This window comes from Homo sapiens, chromosome 8 (genome assembly GCF_000001405.40).
Source record: "Homo sapiens chromosome 8, GRCh38.p14 Primary Assembly".
Taxonomy (NCBI): Eukaryota; Metazoa; Chordata; class Mammalia; order Primates; family Hominidae; genus Homo; species Homo sapiens.
Genome location: NC_000008.11, coordinates 17,612,483 through 17,630,543, shown reverse-complemented (window position 1 = coordinate 17,630,543; position 18,061 = coordinate 17,612,483). Strand labels below are relative to the sequence as shown.

Here is an 18,061-nt window from a genome sequence, read left to right as displayed (position 1 = left end):
TGAATTGTTGGGACTGAAGATTTTAAACAAACAGTCTTAGAAACCAGAATGAGGCTGTCTTACTCACCCAGCAAGCCTGTTGGATATCAAAGGGAAACTCGACATGACCAACAGATCTCCCTACCCTCAGGAAAAGGGGGATTCAACACAATGGAACGGATGGCAGTTACCAGGGAAAAAAGTATTTCATGTATAAATGCTATGAAATGAAACTCCTCACTAAAATGGCCACATTGAAAGAAGTAGTTCCAATTTTAATTGAGAGACTGATCATGTTTCAGTTCTGTCAAGAGTAAGGGAGTAAGGCCAACTGGAAGAGAATGAGGCGGGAATTTGAGAACTCCAAGTGTTCTGTGCACATTGGGGAAAACAGAAGAAAGACGGGACAAAATGCAGAGGACACCAGGCAGGGTAGACGAGAGATGGGGGATTCATGGCCATGCCCTCTACCCTCCCATGGGAGTGTCCCAACAGCTCTTAACTCTCTGAGTACAGGCATGGGGAGAAGGTTAGTTGTGTTCATCCGGGGTGGTTCTTTCCTGGACAGGAGAGGGGAGTACAGAGAGGAGGGCGTGCCGGGTGTGGGTAGTGAGTACTGATGTGGTGGGACCCAGGATCTAAGCCTCATGGGTGGGGAGGGCAGAAAGCCCTCAAGAACAGGGTGGGTGCAGGTGAGGACTGTGGCTGAGGGAGTCATTGAACACAGAATCCTGGGAAAGTACAAGCCTGTGTCACTGGAGCTGGGGTCAGCCCCGGTGGTTGCTGTCACAGTGGTTGTGGTTGACATGTTCACATTGTGATGAGGGTGGGAATATCTGAGGTGGAACGGATGAGGGGTCCATGAACCTGGCCAGTGGGTACCAAGTCGATATCAAAGTCACCCTAAAAATGGAGTGACAAGCAGGGCCATGAACCAAGTGCCAAAATGTTCGATGAATGCATGGGAGTGACAGGAAAGGAAATGAGAATGCTGGTAGAGCCCCCAAAGAGCAGAGGTTCCCAACAGAAGGGCAGAGAATGAGGGTTGGCAGGTGGCAATGGGTACAAGAAGGATGCCAGCCTTGACGTGGGAATGAATGATGTCCTTAGGAGACAGCAGATTTGGGTTTAGACCAAGAGGCTGGGAGGATGCTCTAAAGGAGTTTGGGGACATAGAAGACCTGATCCAACACAGAGGCAGCACCAGAGTGAACGATGGAAGGATTTGGCTGGAATGGAGAAGAGGGGTTTTCGGTCAGGGTCATAACAAGGAAGGAGAACATCCATCCTAGAAGTGGTGGGGCAGAAGGGAAGCCTTTAAGAACGGCATAAGTGGGCCGAGCATGGTGGCTCACACTTGTAATCTCGGCACTCTGGGAAGCTAAGATCAAAGGATTGTTTAAGCCCAGGAGGTCGAGACCAGCCCAGGCAAGGTAGGGAGACCTCTTCTCTATGAGACAAAAAAAAAAAAAAAAAAAAGTTAGCAGGGCATGGTGGCTCATACCTGTGGTTCCAGCTACTCAGGAGGCTAAGGAGGGAGGGTTGCTTGAGCCCAGGGCTTTAATGCTGCAGTGAGAAAATGGTTGTGCCACTGCATTCCAGCCTGGGCAACAAAACGGGACCCTGTCTCAAGAAAAAAGAGAAAAAAAAACAACAACAACCCAACAACAATGAAACAAAAGGCACTCATGGAGCTTCCTTATTCCATCTGCAGGCAGGGAACAGCAGTACCTGAAACTGACCAGGGGACTAACTAGAATCTAGGCAGGGGTGGCCAGGCTTACCCGCCACATAGAGCAGCTGGTACTTGACGGAGATCTGAGATCTGCCCCCGGCCTCCGCCCTGCAGTAAACCACACCCTGGTGCTCGGAATGAGGTTGCAGATACACAAAGCCCCGCTTCATGTCATAAACAATGTCCGTTCCATTGGCTGGGATCTCCTTGGCTGGGAATTCCCTGTGGAGCGTGACTTTGGCCGACAGCACGGTCACCCGACAAGGAACCACAGCCTGTCTGTCCGGGTTCAAGTAGACAACATCGAAGTAGCTGGGAGAAGGTACAAAGAGTTCTCCTTTCTCTGCAAAGGGAAGGAAGACACAGGCTTATTCACTCCGGAGACGCAAAGTAAAAGCACCCTTAAGGATTTTGGCAGCATACTCTGAATACTGAGTCCTTAGGAGTAGGAAAGGCCGGGTTTTCTTTTTTTACTTTAATGCTTTTCATTTTTTGGAAGAATGATTTAACTTCCTGTCTCCTTAAAGAAAACAGAAGGCTGGGCGCGGTAGCTCACACCTGTAATCCCAGCACTTTGGGAGGCTGAGGCGGGCAGATCACGAGGTCAGGAGATCGAGACCATCCTGGCTAACACGGTGAAACCCCATCTGTACTAAAAAAAACAAAAAATGAGCCGGGCATGGTGGCGGGCGCCTGTAGTCCCAGCTACTCGGGAGGCTGAGGCAGGAAAATGGCGTGAACCCGGGAGGCGGAGCTTGCAGTGAGCCGAGATAGCGCCACTGCACTCCAGCCTGGGCGACAGAGCCAGACTCCGTCTCAAAAAAAAAAAAAAAAAAAAAAGAAAGAAAGAAAACAGAAAAGGTATCAGTACAAGCCCAGATGACGCCCATGGATCACCACCATGAGGAAGCAAGGAACAAGATTTAAATTAAGATTTAACATATTAACCTTTAACAAGTTAAAGTTTAACATGCCCAGCCTTACTTCTTATACTATAATATATAGTTTGAAGTAAGTGACCACACTAGTTGCTTTAAAAATATATTTGCAATCTGGCCAGGCGTGGTGGCTCATGCCTGTAATCCTAGCACTTTGGGAGGCCGAGGCGGGTGGATCTCCTGAGCTCAGGAGTTCAAGACCAGCCTGGGCAACATGGTGAAACCCCGTCTCAACTAAAAATAAAAAAAAAAAAATTAGCTGAGTGTGGTGGTGCGCGCCTGTAGTCCCAGCTACATGGGAGGCTGAAGCATGAGAATTGCTTGAACCCAGGAGGCAGCAGAGGTTGCTGTGAGCTGAGATCATGCCACTGCACTCCAGCCTGGGCAACAGAGCAAGATTGCGTCTCAAAAAAAAAAAAAATTGCAATCGGTAGCTTCCATCAACAAAAAAATGTGTTAAAGCTCATTTGAATAATTATAGATTACATATGTCCCCTGAAAATGTATTTACATCCACTCATGTAGATGACACACGTATTACTTAAAGTAGACAAGCACATTGGATTTTAGATTTCCACAAAAAATCAAGCTAATAAGCTGTAAACTACATCCAAATTACAGCAAACTCAATATTTAGGAAAGCACTTACTAATGTGATTTTATGATTGTAAGTTTTAAACCCTTAGCAGTTGTAAAACCTTGAAACCATCTGCTGCTTGTGGGTGGAGAAATCAGCCCCACAGCCACAGTCAGTAACTGCCAGCCAGGAAGCATTTCCCAGTACATCAGAGCTCCCCTGGGAGCCCCAGCACGGTGACAGTGTCCTCAGCCTGTCCTCACACAGCCCAGAGGATCTGGCGCCTGCCAAGGTTAGCGGAGGGGAATGGCGTCGGCTTGAAGGAGGAACCCATCAGTCTCAGGTCTGCTCTCGGCTTGGCCAGCACCTGGCTGGGAATCCTCAGCCAGTCTCTTATCTCCCCCCATTTCCTCTGAAATTACTCTGCCTGGTTCTTTAAGCTCAGATGATGGCATTTTTATCTTACTGAAATGGGAGAAACGAGGACTGGCCTACCAATTCTGTCCTTAGGACAGGCAAGAAACTCTGGACTGGGCTTTTGGGGGTATTTTTGTTGGTGCTGGTGGCTTTTCTTTTTTGGCATGGTACATTGAATCCTTTGTTTTTCTGGATCATTCTGTGAGGGAATATTACAGTATTTGCAAAGAGAAATCTTCAGAGCTAGTGATACCCCAATACGTATTACATGCTTTCTTGTGTTTTCCCCACAGTGTTCCTGAAATAAATAATTTTTCTTGGCTTTCTTCCCCACTTGCCTTCTTTGTGTCACAGTTAGATGGTGTTTTAGGTTGGGGGCAGAATTCCTGGACACATCATCAAATGGTTCATGAGCCAAGAGTTCTTGGGCTGTAAGTACCAAGTTCACTAACACGGAGATCCTTCCTCCTGACTCTAAGACGAGGGAAGAGTATATCATGGCTCAGAGAGTCTCCGTCTTTTACATGGGTTTCCATCAGGCTGGGAGGTCTGTGCAACTTCATAAGAAATTGGCTTTCAGGCTTAGGTAAGGGGTACCTTTGTCAACGTCATGCCTAATGTTCATGAGTTCACACAGAGTCCATCTACATGGCCTCAAAGGCATTATTTTATTTCCTCATGCTTCAATGTCCACATTTGTCAAGAGAAGAATCTGGAGTGGATAATATTGAAGATGTTTTCTTAGCAACAACACTTTAGGATTTTATGATTGCAAGATTTAGAGGCAACTTTTGTTTTAAAAGTGTGTAGAATAATCTGAAGCGATAAGCAGAGCCATTAGTCGAATAAGTGAACCGTGTGAATTTAAGAACACAAAAATATCTTCTTGTATTTTTATTTTTTGAGACAGGGTCTCACGCTGTTGCCCAGGCTGGAGTGCAGTGGCACCATCATGACTTACTGCAGTTTCAACCTCCAGGGCTCAAATGATCCTCCCACCTCAGCCTCCTGAGTAGCTGGGACTACAGGCACGTGCCACCATGCCTGTCTAATTTTTTATTTTTTAGTTTTTCTAGAGTCAGGGTCTCACTATGTTGCCCAGGCTGGTCTCAAACTCCTGGACTCAAGCAGTCCTCCTGCCTTGGCCTCCCAAAGTGCTGAGATTACAGGCATGAGCCAATGTTCCCAGCCTTACTTCTTATACTATAATATATACTTTACTTCTTATACTATAATACATACTTTGAAATGTGACCAAACCAGTTGCTTTAAAAATATATTTGCAATCCGTAGCTTCCATCAACAATAACAAAGTGTTGAAGTTTGTTTTAATAATTATAGATTACACATGTCCCCTGCAAATGTATTTATATCCACTTATCTAGAAGACAAATGTTTTACTTAAAGAAAACTAAACACATGGGATTTTAGATTAAAAAAAAAAACTCGACCAGGTGCAGTGGCTCACGCCTGTAATCCCGGCACTTTGGGAGGCCAAGGCAGGCGGATCATGAGGTCAGGAGACCGAGACCCTCCTGGACAACATGGTGAAACCCCATCTCTGCTAAAAATACAAAGATTCGTTGGGCACTGTGGCGCATGCCTGTAATCCCAGCTACTCGGGAGGCTGAGGCAGGAGAATCGCTCGAACCGGGGAGTCGGAGGTTGCAGTGAGCTGAGATGGTGCCACTGCACTCCAATCTGGCAACAGAGGGAGACTCCATCTCAAAAAAGACAAAAAAACAAAAAAATGCGGGGGGGGGAGGGATAGCTTTAGGAGATATACCTAATGCTAAATGACGAGTTAATGGGTGCAGCACACCAGCATGGCACATGTATACATATGTAACTAACCTGCACATTGTGCACATGTACCCTAAAACTTAAAGTATAATAATAATAAATAAAAATAAAAATAAAAAAATAAATAAATGCAAGTTAACAAGCTATAAACTAAATCCAAATTACAACAAATTCAGTATTTTGAGACAGTCTCACTCCGTCACCCAGGCTGGAATGCAGTGGTGCCATCTCGGCTCACTGCAACTTTGACTCGCTGCCTCCTGGGTGTAAGCAATTCTTGTGCCTCAGCCTCCCGAGTAGCTGGAATTACAGGCGTGTGCCACCATGCCCACCTAATTTTTGCATTTTAGTACAGAGGGAGTTTCGCCATGTTGGTTAGGCTGGTCTTGAACTCCTGACCTCAAGTGATCCGCCTGCCTCGGCTTCCCAAAGTGCTAGGGGATTATAGGCATGAGCCACTGCACCCAGCCAGGAAAGTACTTATTAATGTGGTTTTCCTACGTATAAAAATTAGAGCCTCAGCCTTTTACTATGAGAAAGCTCTGCTGCTGGTAATGTTCTCATCCTTGATCTGGGTGGGAGTTACATGTGCCTGTTTGCTTAAGGATAATTTATTGAGCTGTATTCTGAGAATTTGAATGTTTTTCTTTACATATGTTATACTACAATAAGAAGTGAAAGAGAAGCAGGGAAAACCTTCCAAGATCCTCCTGGATCAAGATGAAAGAGGAAATACATACGGCAATTATTTAATCACAAACTGCACACTAACAACAGTCAGTCCCCCAAAAGAAGCTTCAGTGTTTTTAATCAAACTCTAGGAAACATACAAACATAATGAATGACAAACATTTCTCCACATGGGTAGCCAGGAAACACATGTTCTGAAAGAATCCTGAGCCAGCAGTGAGAACCTCAGCTTCTGTAACAGCCCATCTTGGTTTCTCAAAGCCATCCATGCTTGAAAAGACAAATTGCCAAACCCTATAGTAAAAATCCAACTGGACTCCTAGCTTAGTGTTGACAAATAAGAAAAAATAAATGATGTATAACACATTAGGTCAAATGTGTTACAGCATTTATTTTTTTTGATCAAAGTTTCTTGATAGTTGGAATGAATATATTTTAGCTTTTCTTTGGTTCCCAAAATTAGTTCAGTTAAAAAAAAAACAAAAAGGTTCCGCCTCCAAAACTCAAAGAGAGCCCGTATTTTTTTTTTTTGAGGTAAAGTCTTGCTCTGTCGCCCAGGTTGGAGTGCAGTGGCGCAATCTTGACTCACTGCAACCACCAACTCCGAGATTCAGGCGATCCTCCTGCTTCAGCCTCCTGAGCAGCTGGGAGCACAACTGTGCACCACCACGCCCAGCTAACTTTTGTATTTTTGTAGAGATGGGATTTCTCCATGTTGGCCAGGCTGTTCTCGAACTCCTGACCTCAGGTGATCCGCCCGCCGTGGCCTCCCAAAGTGCTGGATTACAGGTATGAGCTACCATGCCTGGCCAAGAGCCCATAATATTAATAGGATATTCTGCCCAAGCTAAGCCTGCAGTTCAAAACCTCGACCAATACTTTGGGAAGACACAACAGTGCTAATCTTGGCAAAGAATCTTCCTTCTGCAACTTGAAATGTGGAATCAGTCATTGACTTGAATAACAGACTTTTATTCATCTTAGTTGGTTGCTTTTTCCACTGTTGCTTCACAGCATGGTATAATACAAAGGGCACATTTACAATCTTGTGTAGCGAGTTCCAAAATGAAGATCCAAAGAGATTGCCTATGAACAATTATTAGCAATTCTCCTGACAACACCAGTTATGCTAGCTAGAATCTGGCTATCAGTCCATCCTTCACCTTGTCCTACAAAAGGTTCAAGGCAGTAAAAACACTGGATCCTGGGTCAGAAAAACAGGTTTGGCTCCTTATTGTGCCACTACAGGTCCTGGAACATTGAGGCTCAGCATGAGCATTAGTACTTCTAGTATTTTGGAGATAATAAAATAGCTTTTGCTTATTTCCCAGGGATGTTGTGGAATGAAACTGATAGAGGCAGGAGGCAGAGAACTCTCCTAAGCAGATACGGGAATGTCCTTAGAGAACCTCTGACCTACCAAGGTCATTGTGCACAGGGGTCTTGCCTAAACATACCCCCAGTGAAAAATTCCATCCCTTAACACACATGCAGTAAGGGAAATAAATCAACGTGGAGTGACTCAGATTAAGGGCCTGCAGGTACACTGAAAGGATGGGGTGGAGCCGCCAGGAATTCACGCCTCTTACAAACAGGGAACCCAGCCCTACCGAGGGAACATAGAAGCCCTTGTATTCAATTGTGTGGAGAGCAACCTGCAACCTGCTTTCAGGACCCCTCTTTTTGCTGAGAGCTTTCCTTTTCGCATAATAAATTCTACTCCACGCACTCTTTTAAGTGTCTGTGTGCCTAAGTTTTCCTGGCATGAGACAAGAACTTGGATCTCTGAACTAAGGAGTAAAAAGTCTGCATCAAAATGAGATACATGTGCTTCCAGAACTGCAGCATACCCTACTAATGCATCTCCTTGCCAGAGAGGAGCTATTTGGGCAGGAAAGGACAAATACATAAGATTGTACTAAAACATTCTTTAATGGTCAGGGCATAACATCCTTTGGGTCATAGGCCTATGTCTAGGTCTAGGCCTATGTCTAGGTCTACGTCTGAAAGGTAGGTGGATTCAAGGCATGGAGAAATTTCATGAAAGTCCCTGCCCAGGCACTAACAAAGGATTCTGGTTTCACCTGAAATGTCTTGGACGACAATAGGACGAGGGTGGCTTTGTAAGATTCCTGAAAGCTCTTACTGACTTCTGAACCTTGCTGGAGAACTTCATCCCCTAAACTTCAGAACTTAGAGAACATTACAGAAGAAAGAGGCTGAGCAGTTATTCTGCACACGTGTTTCTCAAAATGCAAGCTCCATCTTCCAGAAACATACTTTGCACTGCAGAGAAGAGTTCTCCACTCTGACCTGAACATTTTGAGGCAGTCCACTGAGGCTTAGGGACAGGGACTGGAGACACAACAGCCACAATCTTTGGGAATCTTGCCCCCGAAATCTCAGCTCATAGTATTCACAAGAACAAACAGGGCTGAGCAGAATGGCTCATGCCTGTAACTACAGCAATTTGGGAGACCGAAGCAGGAGGATAGCTTGAGTTCAGGAGTTCGAGACCAGCCTGGGCAACACAGTGAGACCTCACTTCTACCGAAAAATCAAAAAACAAAATAATAAAAAGGACAAATGGGAGGTCTTTAGTGAAGCATCCTATGGAGTTTCCAAAAAGAAGATGGTCATAGGTTCTGAGAAGACAGTGATGAAAGTCAACAGCAGCACTGTCCAATAGAACTTTCTGTGATAAAGGGAATGTTCTCTCTCTGTGCTGTCTAGTACAATAGCCATTAGCCACATGCTACAGTTGAGCACTTGAAATGTGGCAAGTGCACTGAGAACTTGTTCTTAATTTTATTTCATTTTAATTTTCATTTAAGTAGCCACACATGTTTAGTGGTCACCGTATTGGGGAGTGCAGGGACAGACCCTGGAACCAAATGGTTTGTGTTGAAATCCTGTTACCACCACTTACTTTCTGTGTGACCTTAAGGACTTATTTAATCACTCTAAACCTCAACTTTCCCATCTGAAAAAAAAAAAAACAGGAATAATATTAGTATTTGCCCTGAAGGGTTACGGTAAGACTTACATGAAATAACTGATGTAAAGCATTTAGCCCAGAGCCTGGCAAACAGGAAGTGCTCTGATTGTCATTATTTGCTATTCAGCATGCAGTGGGGGAACCTTCAGCTCTCAGCCCGGTCCAGAAGTTTGAAGAGTTCCATTAATGCACCAAGTATTTTACCTGTAAAAAAGATGTAGGTGGAGCCCGTTTTGGCCTCGTCCTTCCTGCAGATGTAGCCGCTGCAGAGCTGCACCCAGCAGCTGAATTCACCTGTGTCTGCCGAGGTGGAGTTGACCAGAGTCAACTGGCCGTAGCGCTCATTCTGCTTGACGCTAGGAATAAAAGACACATGAACTCAAAGCAAGTCAGACCTGGCTGGGGCCCTCCAGCTGTCACACTCGGCTCCACTGTTCTCTGGGCAGACTTGCCCCAATCTTTCTCCGATGTCATAGAGTAATATAAGAATGTGTTTGACTTGTCAAACACCCCTAGAACTTAAAGTATAATAAAAAAAAAAAAATGATAAAAACTGAAAAAAAAGAAATCAGGAAAAAAATGACATTTTTACCTTTTAAAGTTCATTCTAAAACAATTTGAGCAACATGATGGATTATTCGGCTTTTCAGCGTAATACAATGAGGTAAATATTTTTTGCAACAATTCAAAAAATTTTATTCATAACCGTATTTCTGGATTTTACTACTGTTTTCATATTTTATGCAGTGATCAAATACATAGAAATGTTAATCGTGAAAATGCAATATTATACATTTGTCAAAACTCAAGGAATGAGCAATACAAGATGTGAACCCTAACTTAAACTACGGACTTTAGCTAATAATGATGTATAAATATTGGTACATCGGTTGTCAAAAATGTACCACATTAACGTAAGAAATTAATAATGGGAAAACTGTGTGCAGGAGGGGAGGAGGTAAATGGCCACCCTGTATCTTTTTCTCCATTTCTCTGCAACCTAAAACCACCCTAAAAAGCAAAATCTATCACTAAAAACTGAAATATTCTGTTTTAAGAAAATATGAATATTATTTTCACCATACATTGCTACATATTTTAATAAACCAATGTGTCACCACTAAAATAAATTTCAAAAAAAAGAATGTGTTTGGCAGTGGTTCATGCCTATAATCCCAGTGTTTTGAGAGGCCAAGATGGGAAGATAACTTGAGGCCAGGAGTTTGAGACCAACCTGAGCAACATAGCAAGACCCCATTTTTACAAAAATTAAACAATGAGCCTGGCATGATGGCTGACTCCTGTAGTCCTAGCTACTTGGTAGGCTAAGGCAGGAAGATGGCTTGAGCACAAGAATTTGAGATTCCAGTGAGTCATGATCACGCCACTGCACTCCAGCCTGGGTGACAGAGCAAGACCCTGTCTCTAAAAAATAAAGAGTACGTTTCTGATAAATGGGTGTGTGGGGGAAGCAGAGAGAAAAGCCTCTCCTCAAAGGAAATAATAAATGTCAAAGAGAATTCCTCTTCTTGGAGAATGTAATTGTCCTCAGACCTGCGGTTTCCTTAAGTAAAACCATTGGTGCAATAGCTATGCAGCCTCAGAAGTTCAGCCAGAAAGCCTTGGCCTGGTGTTTTGCTTTCAGCCTGTGTCTCATGAATCGTTTGTAAGCAGTCAACATAAATGAAAGCACACAGCATTATGCAATATCCAAAATCCCTTTCATCAATAAAGATAAGTCTCTGCATTAACTCTTAGAATCTTACACATGCTACATTATCATGTTAAAACCAAAAACTTTCTTTTAGGAAGAAAACGCATTGGCTGATAAGGTCCTGAGCCCAAAGTATGCATACAGCCCACTTCTAATAAAGTATTTAAAGGGTTTGGGCATTTCGACTTTTCCTCTGACCTTACTCTATTATTTCTTCTTTTATTTTTCTTCCTTATCTTTTGTATTTTGTAACTTGTTGCATGGCAAATATATTTGCAAACCCCTTCAGTTTCTTTCTGAAATGAAGAGGGGCATACATATTTATTATTAAACACTAGCATTAGCCAATTTCAATGGTAATTAATTCTATTATATTGTGGCACAAATCCAGATGTATCAGATTTATCATCCTCACACTGGAGGTTCCCCTGAGGCTGAGAGCCTCAGCACATGGGGGCGCCAAAATAAGCAGTTTTAATCTGGGGACTCATCTCGAACATCCAAATGCTTCGCTCTTCTGAGATCCACATACTTTTATGATGTAGCTGAGATTCTGCAGTTTATCTTGCAGCAGAATCAATACCGTGACCAGTTTACATTTAGCATAGGGAAAATGTCAGGTGAGTTGGTCCTGAACGCAGCCCTGTTCTGGTTCACTGCGGAATAGCTTGTTTTGTCCACCAGTTCTGCCAAGTGGTGCTTCTGTACTCCCACGCCATCAACTGCCTCCCTTACCCTGAACGGAAATCTCTCCTCCTTCAGGAAGCTTCTAATTAGGATCGACTCTCAGGAATCTCCCCACTTTTGCCTGACATAATTGACTTCCTTGTTCTCTACCCCTCGGATACCCCTGGCTTCCTGTCATTACACTAGATGGTACAAGCTTTGAGGCAGGAACTGAACTGTATTTGTTTTATATTCTCTAAGCAACAAATCTGTGCAGAGTATGCAGTAAGGACTCCCTAAACATGAGCGAATTGAGTTAAACCAGTGATGGAAAAGGAAAGAATCTGGAGAGGCAGGCATCCAGCTCCCTATTTTGCAGAGGGGGAAAACTGAGTCTCAGACAGCAGAAATGACTTCCCTGAAACCCACAGCTTGTGAATCGCTTGTGAGCAAGTCTTCCTTAAGTCAATTAAGTATGTTCTGAATACCACTCATTAGATAAGAAAATACATACAAAGCCCCTTGTGCAATGCCTGATTCATTGTGTTATCCCAATTATATCTTAATTACAGATGAATAGTAGTAATCATGAAGATTACTATAGCCATGACAAATAGTACACATGCAGCACTGGGGATAGTTAGCACAGCAAATAAAAAATGGTCGACCCAGGCCAGGTGCGGTGGTTCATGCCTATAATCCCAACACTTTGGGAGGCTGAGGCAGGAGGATCGCTTGAGCTCAGGAGTTCATGACCAGATTGGGCAACATAGCAAAACCCCATATCTACAAAAAATTAAACATTAGCCAGGCATGGTAGTGTGCATGTAGTCCTAGCTATTCAGGAGGCTGATGTGGGAGGATCTCTTGAGTCCAGGAGGTCGAGGCTGCAATGAGCTATGATTCCCACCACTGTACTCCAGCCTAGGCGACAGAGCAAAACCCTGACTTAAAAAATAAAAAATAAAAATGGAAAGATCAATGCTAGTTTTAAGGATGAAGCTAGATTTCAGCAAATTAAAAAAAAAAGAAAAGAAAAGGGAAGGGAAAATGGAGGCGACAGTCTCCCCATGTGGACAATAATTTCTGGCCACATTCCCGTAGAGCTCAGAACCAGGGTACCAAATCAGCAGGCAATCAGTAAATTCACTGCGCATCTTCTCTGGGCCGAGCATTTGCTAGCACTGTAGTGATAGAAAGTATAAGATGCCATTCCTACTGGGAAAGTAATTAGGCACGTAAGAAATTAACACTTGGGAATAACCCTACCACCAGTGTGCAATCTGCATGCTGTATCTTTAGTAGGTTTGGGGGCGGAAGGAAGGAAACGCACTGGAAAACAGTTCTGCATTTTTCCACCCCCTCTTCTACGCAAACAATATAAAACAGGAAACAAATTATTTAGTGGGATTACAGTTTCAGGGCCTGGATTTAGAATGTCCATTTCTACCAATGGTATCTCATCGTCTAGGCAGCAGACTACGCAAGGGGTTGGAAGTGACCGAGGGCCTCTGCAGGCTGAGTCCGTGTCACGCAAGGGAGACAAGGATTCCCTGAGCCCTTCAGAGCCAGTGTCTGTACAGAGATGCTTCATCAAAGACCCTTCCTTTCTGTGTAACCGCTGAACACCATCCCCAGGGATGGAGAAAGTGGCGAATGGGGAGTTTAAGTGGAGCAAAAAGAAGGTGTCATGACCAAATGCCAGGAAAAAGCGTCCTAAGAGAAGCAGAATTCACATTAACAGGAAGCAGCTCTGAACACGCCAACACATCAGCTTGCCTCTGGCCTTTTCTTTCTAAACTAGGAGTTCTAGCCCTGACCCACAGAGATCTCAGTGATGGCCAAGTCCATGTTTCAAAGTGAAAGTGTTCAAATTTTAAGACCCCGTGTATGTGTATGTGTGTGCATGGCTTCCAACACGCTCCCCTGGCCTTAACACACACAGAGTCTTGCTCCCATCAGTGGAGGACTGAAGCTTCCTGTATTTAGCCCAGGCTGCTCTCTCCTGGGGGTGGCCTAAGTCATGAGATGGCACAGAGGAGGGAGCTGACAGTCCTCAGATATAGGGACCGGTGCATCTTACTTGGGGCAGTGGCCAGTTAATAGTAGTGGGGTCCATTTCCTGTCTGCCCCGGTGAAGACTCTGCAAGCCAAGGGCAAGGGTGAGCCTTGGGTTACAAGATAATGATTCATTGGTATTATACCCACACATACTTAGTAAGTACAAAATAAATGGGAGGTGCTGGAGAGGACAGGAGGGATGCAATGATGTCTAGAGAAGTCCCTGCTCCCGAGTTCTCCTACACAACATGCCATGAGAACTCCGAGGAGAGTAACCAGCAAGAGCCTCTAGGCCAAGAGGGTCTTGGTACAAAGGAAGGATGTCAACATGCGCAAATCGAGGGCATGCAGTCCCAGGGAAGGAGGTCTCCAGAGAGAAGAAAAAAGGCAAGTTTGTGCAGAACAAAGCGATGTTATTCTGGACGACAAGTTGGCTGAAGACTGTGGTGAAAGGCATAAAATCATGAACTTGGGCCAGGCGCAAGTGGTTCATGCCTGTAATCCCAGCATTTTGGGAGGCCGAGGTGGGTGGATCACGACGTCAAGAGATCGAGACCATCCTGGCCAACATGGTGAAACCGCATCTCTATTGAAAATACAAAAATTAGCTGGGCGCGGTGGTGCATGCCTGTAGTCCCAGCTACTGGGGAGGCTGACGCAGGACAATCGCTTGAACCCGGGAGGCGGAGGTTGCAGTGAGCTGAGATTGCGGCACTGCACTCCGGCCTGGTGACAGAGCAAGGCTCCCTCTCAGAAATAAATAAATAAATAAATAAATAAATAAATAAATAAATAATAACAATAATAAAATAAAATCATGGACTTTGGAACCCTACTGACCAGATTCAAATCCCAGCTCCACCATGACCTTCAGAGTCCTTAGCTACAGCTCGTCTTCCACAGTCTGGCTTCACCTACTCTTCAGACTTGTAGTAACAATAATGATAGCTAATGCTTGTTGAGTGCAGGCACGCTGCCAAGCTCCGTAAACAAGTTCAGGACTTAGAACAGCATCTGCCACAGAGAAGTGCTCAATACATCTTGTTTATTCGTTTAGAGATAGGGTCTCGCTCTCTTGCCCAGGCTTTGAGTACAGTGGTGCAATCATAGCTCACTACAGCCTCAAACTCCTAGGCTTAAGGGATCCTCCCACCTTGGCCTCCTGAGTAGCTGGCATGTGCCACCACATCCGGCTAATTTTTTTACATTTTTTTGTAGAGACAGGGTCTTGCTGCGTCGCCCAGGCTAGTCTTGAATTCCTGGCCTCAAGCAATCTCCCACCACAGCCTCCCCAAGTGCTGGGATTACAGGCATGAGCCACCACACCCAGACTCGAAACACTTTAGAAATTGTCATTATTATGGTCCCCCTGGTTCTCACAGCTACATTAAGTTGGAGGTACTATTTTTCCCCTTTTACTGCTTGAGGGCACCGAAACATAGAGAAGCAACTTGTCCAAGTTACTCAGCTATTGAGTGGCAGAGCATCTAATCTAGTGTCACACAGACTCAGGTTACAAACACTTATAAATTAAGAGGGCATGGATTTTCATCCTACAGAAATGAAATGAAATGAAGCAATTTTGACTGAGTGATGGCACCTCTAACAGCTTGTAAAATCTGCTAAGTATAGCTATGCACACACACACACTCCCAAATCACAAACAAAAATATGAGAGATCCAGTTAAATGAGCTCAGAATTTTAAATTCCATAGTAGAAACGGTACACTGTTTTCTATTAAGTCAACACTAAACCATCCGGTAATTAATTAAAGGAAACAAGAATGGGACACCCATCAGTTATTAAGCATCGACTTCATAACTGGCAATACGGAAGAGACACTTTACTTTTTCTCAATCCCGTGAGATGGCAATGATGAGACTTATAACAATAACTGAAACTTAAGCAGTGTTTAATATGTGCTAAGCAATGCTGTAAGCCCTTTACCCATTTTGACTCATTTGATCCTCATGAAGCCCTGAGAGATAAGTGCTATTATTAACCCCACGTGGCAGGTGAACAAACAGGCTGGAGAGGTTAGGTAACTTTCCCAAGGCTACACAGGAAGTGTTGGAGCTGCCAGAGAAGAATTTGAAGCTCAGTTCAAACAACTTTCCCAGGGTGCCTCAGGTAGATAAACAAAGATTTTCTGCTTTGAACGCTCTGTGCTGCCTCTGTTGGAAAAAGAGAGACCCCCATCTCTACAAAAATGTTAAAAATTAGCTGGATGTCACGATGCCAGCCTATAGTCCCAGCTACTTGGGAGGCTGAGGTGGGATGATCACTTGAGCCTGGGAGCTGGAGGCTGCAGTGACCTAGGATTGTGCCACTACACTCCAGCCTGGGCAACAGAGGGAGACCTTGTCTCTAAACAAGTTTACAAAATTAAAACATAAATATCCTCCTTATTCTACATTCATGTGAAAAACTGTTAGGCCTCTACCACATGCAAGGAACTGTGCCAAGAATCAAGAGCGATAAAGACTCGTGGGTATTTGCTTGTCTGTGTTTCAAGTGTTTACACAGGGCCTGTATTTCCTGTAAGTCTCCGTCTCAGAACGTGTCAGAGAAGAATGGCTGAATGATATGCAGGAAACGTGCCATATGAACAGAGTACAGATCCTGGGAAACAGACAGCTGGGTAAAACATACTGAAACTGTCACTGTTTATGTTTCTTTAAAAAAGAAAGAAAAAATATGCATGATGATCTCAGGGAAACAAATATGCAAACTAAAGGACTTCAAAGTGAATATAGTTCTTGTATCAGAAATTAGGCTGGAATAGCTCTATTCCTCTATCATCTATCAATCTATCTATTACGAATCAATCTATCATTTATCAGCCTATCATCTACTGATCTATCATCTATCAATCTATCATCTGTCAATCTGTCTGTTGCCCATCTACTATCTATCTATCATCTATCTCCACATTTGCATACTATCCAAGGAACTATTCAAAATCCTTGCAATGTGATACAATATTTCCACCTCAACAACCAGTTACGTTGTGAAATGTGGCTCAGGTCTCTCTACTGCAATCACTTATGCCAGATTCCTCTGTATTATTATCTTATTATTATTTTTAAGGTAGCTTTTCTTTTTTGAGATGGGGTCTCACTCTGTTACCCAGGCTGGAGGGCAGTGGTGTGACCTCCGTGGGGTTCACACCATCCTCCCACCTCAGCCTTCTGAGTAGCTTGGACTACAAGTGCACACTACCATGCCTGGCTAATTTTAGCATTTTTCTGTAGAGACAGGGGCTTCCTACGTTGCCCAGGCTGGCATCGAACTCCTGAGCTTGAGCAATCCACCTGCCTCGGCCTCCCAAAGTGCTGGGATTACAGGCATGAGCCACTGCGCCTGGGCTTCTCTGGATTATTGAAAAAGAAGTCACCCTAAGCACTTCCCCACTACTTCACGGGAGACTGCACACGCTACATCCCTCCAGCCCTGCCGGCATCACTCTCACCCCTGCAGGTCCTATTCTTGGCACTGCCTGGACTCTGCCCGCCATACTGCGAAGTCCCCCTTCCCTTTTCATTTCCCCTCTGTCACCTGCTGGGGTCATCATTCTTTTTGACCCTCTGTCCAGCATATCCAGGTCCTTTACAAAGGAAAAGCTCCTCTTCCTCCTTCAGATATTCTCTAGACTCTGAGAAAATGAGAAGCGTATATCCCCTTGACACCACAAACCAAAACCATACCTGACACACCAGCGATCCTCCCAACAGAAAATCCCCTCCAACCACCTGGAACAAAGGCCTTAAAATACGCCCAACAATTCCACCCAGAGGAAGAGATCCTTGCTACCTAGATGTTAGCTACCGCAATGACAGTGATCGTAAAAAATGGGGCATGATCTAAGAGATGGAGAGACCCAAGAGATTTAGCTAAACCTACTACAGTATTACAGCCATAACTCACAAAAAATATTCATGGTAGATTAGGTGCAAAGTTAATCATGAAAGAGTTTGAATATTTTGATAATTTTACACATAAAAATATTCACAATAGATTACGGGAAAAGTTAATCATAAAAGAGATAGAATATTTTGATAACTTTACACATAAAAAATATTCACAACAGATTAGGGGGAAAGTTAGTCATTAAAGAGTTTGCAGATTTTGATACCTTTTTTATACTAAATACAAAACTAGAAGATTCAACATTACTGTGTTAACCACGTTTCTTGGGGTTTTCAGTGATCTTTCTCCTTTTTGCTTATTTATAGTTTTTAAGTTTCTAGATCAAATAAGTATGTGTTATTTTATAATAAGAAAAGAAAAACTGGGCCAGGTGTGGTGGCTCACATCTGTAATCCCAGCACTTTGGGAGGCCGAGGTAGGTGGATCACCTGAGGTCAGGAGTTTGAGACCAGCCTGGCCAATATGGTGAAACCACATATCTACTAAAAATGCAAAAATTACCCGGGTATGGTGGCAGGTGCTTGTAATCTCAGCTACTCAGAAGGCTGAGGC

General features: G+C 43.9%; 1 protein-coding gene across 2 annotated transcripts in view; it reads right to left on the bottom strand.

The window, feature by feature from the left end:
- Positions 1-18,061, bottom strand: part of PDGFRL (platelet derived growth factor receptor like) — a 66,712-nt gene that overhangs the window by 12,601 nt on the left and 36,050 nt on the right. For both annotated transcript variants that reach the window (NM_006207.2, NM_001372073.1), the window contains 2 exon segments: positions 1,764-2,057; positions 9,342-9,493. In NM_006207.2, the coding sequence (NP_006198.1) occupies positions 1,764-2,057; positions 9,342-9,493 (446 nt within the window).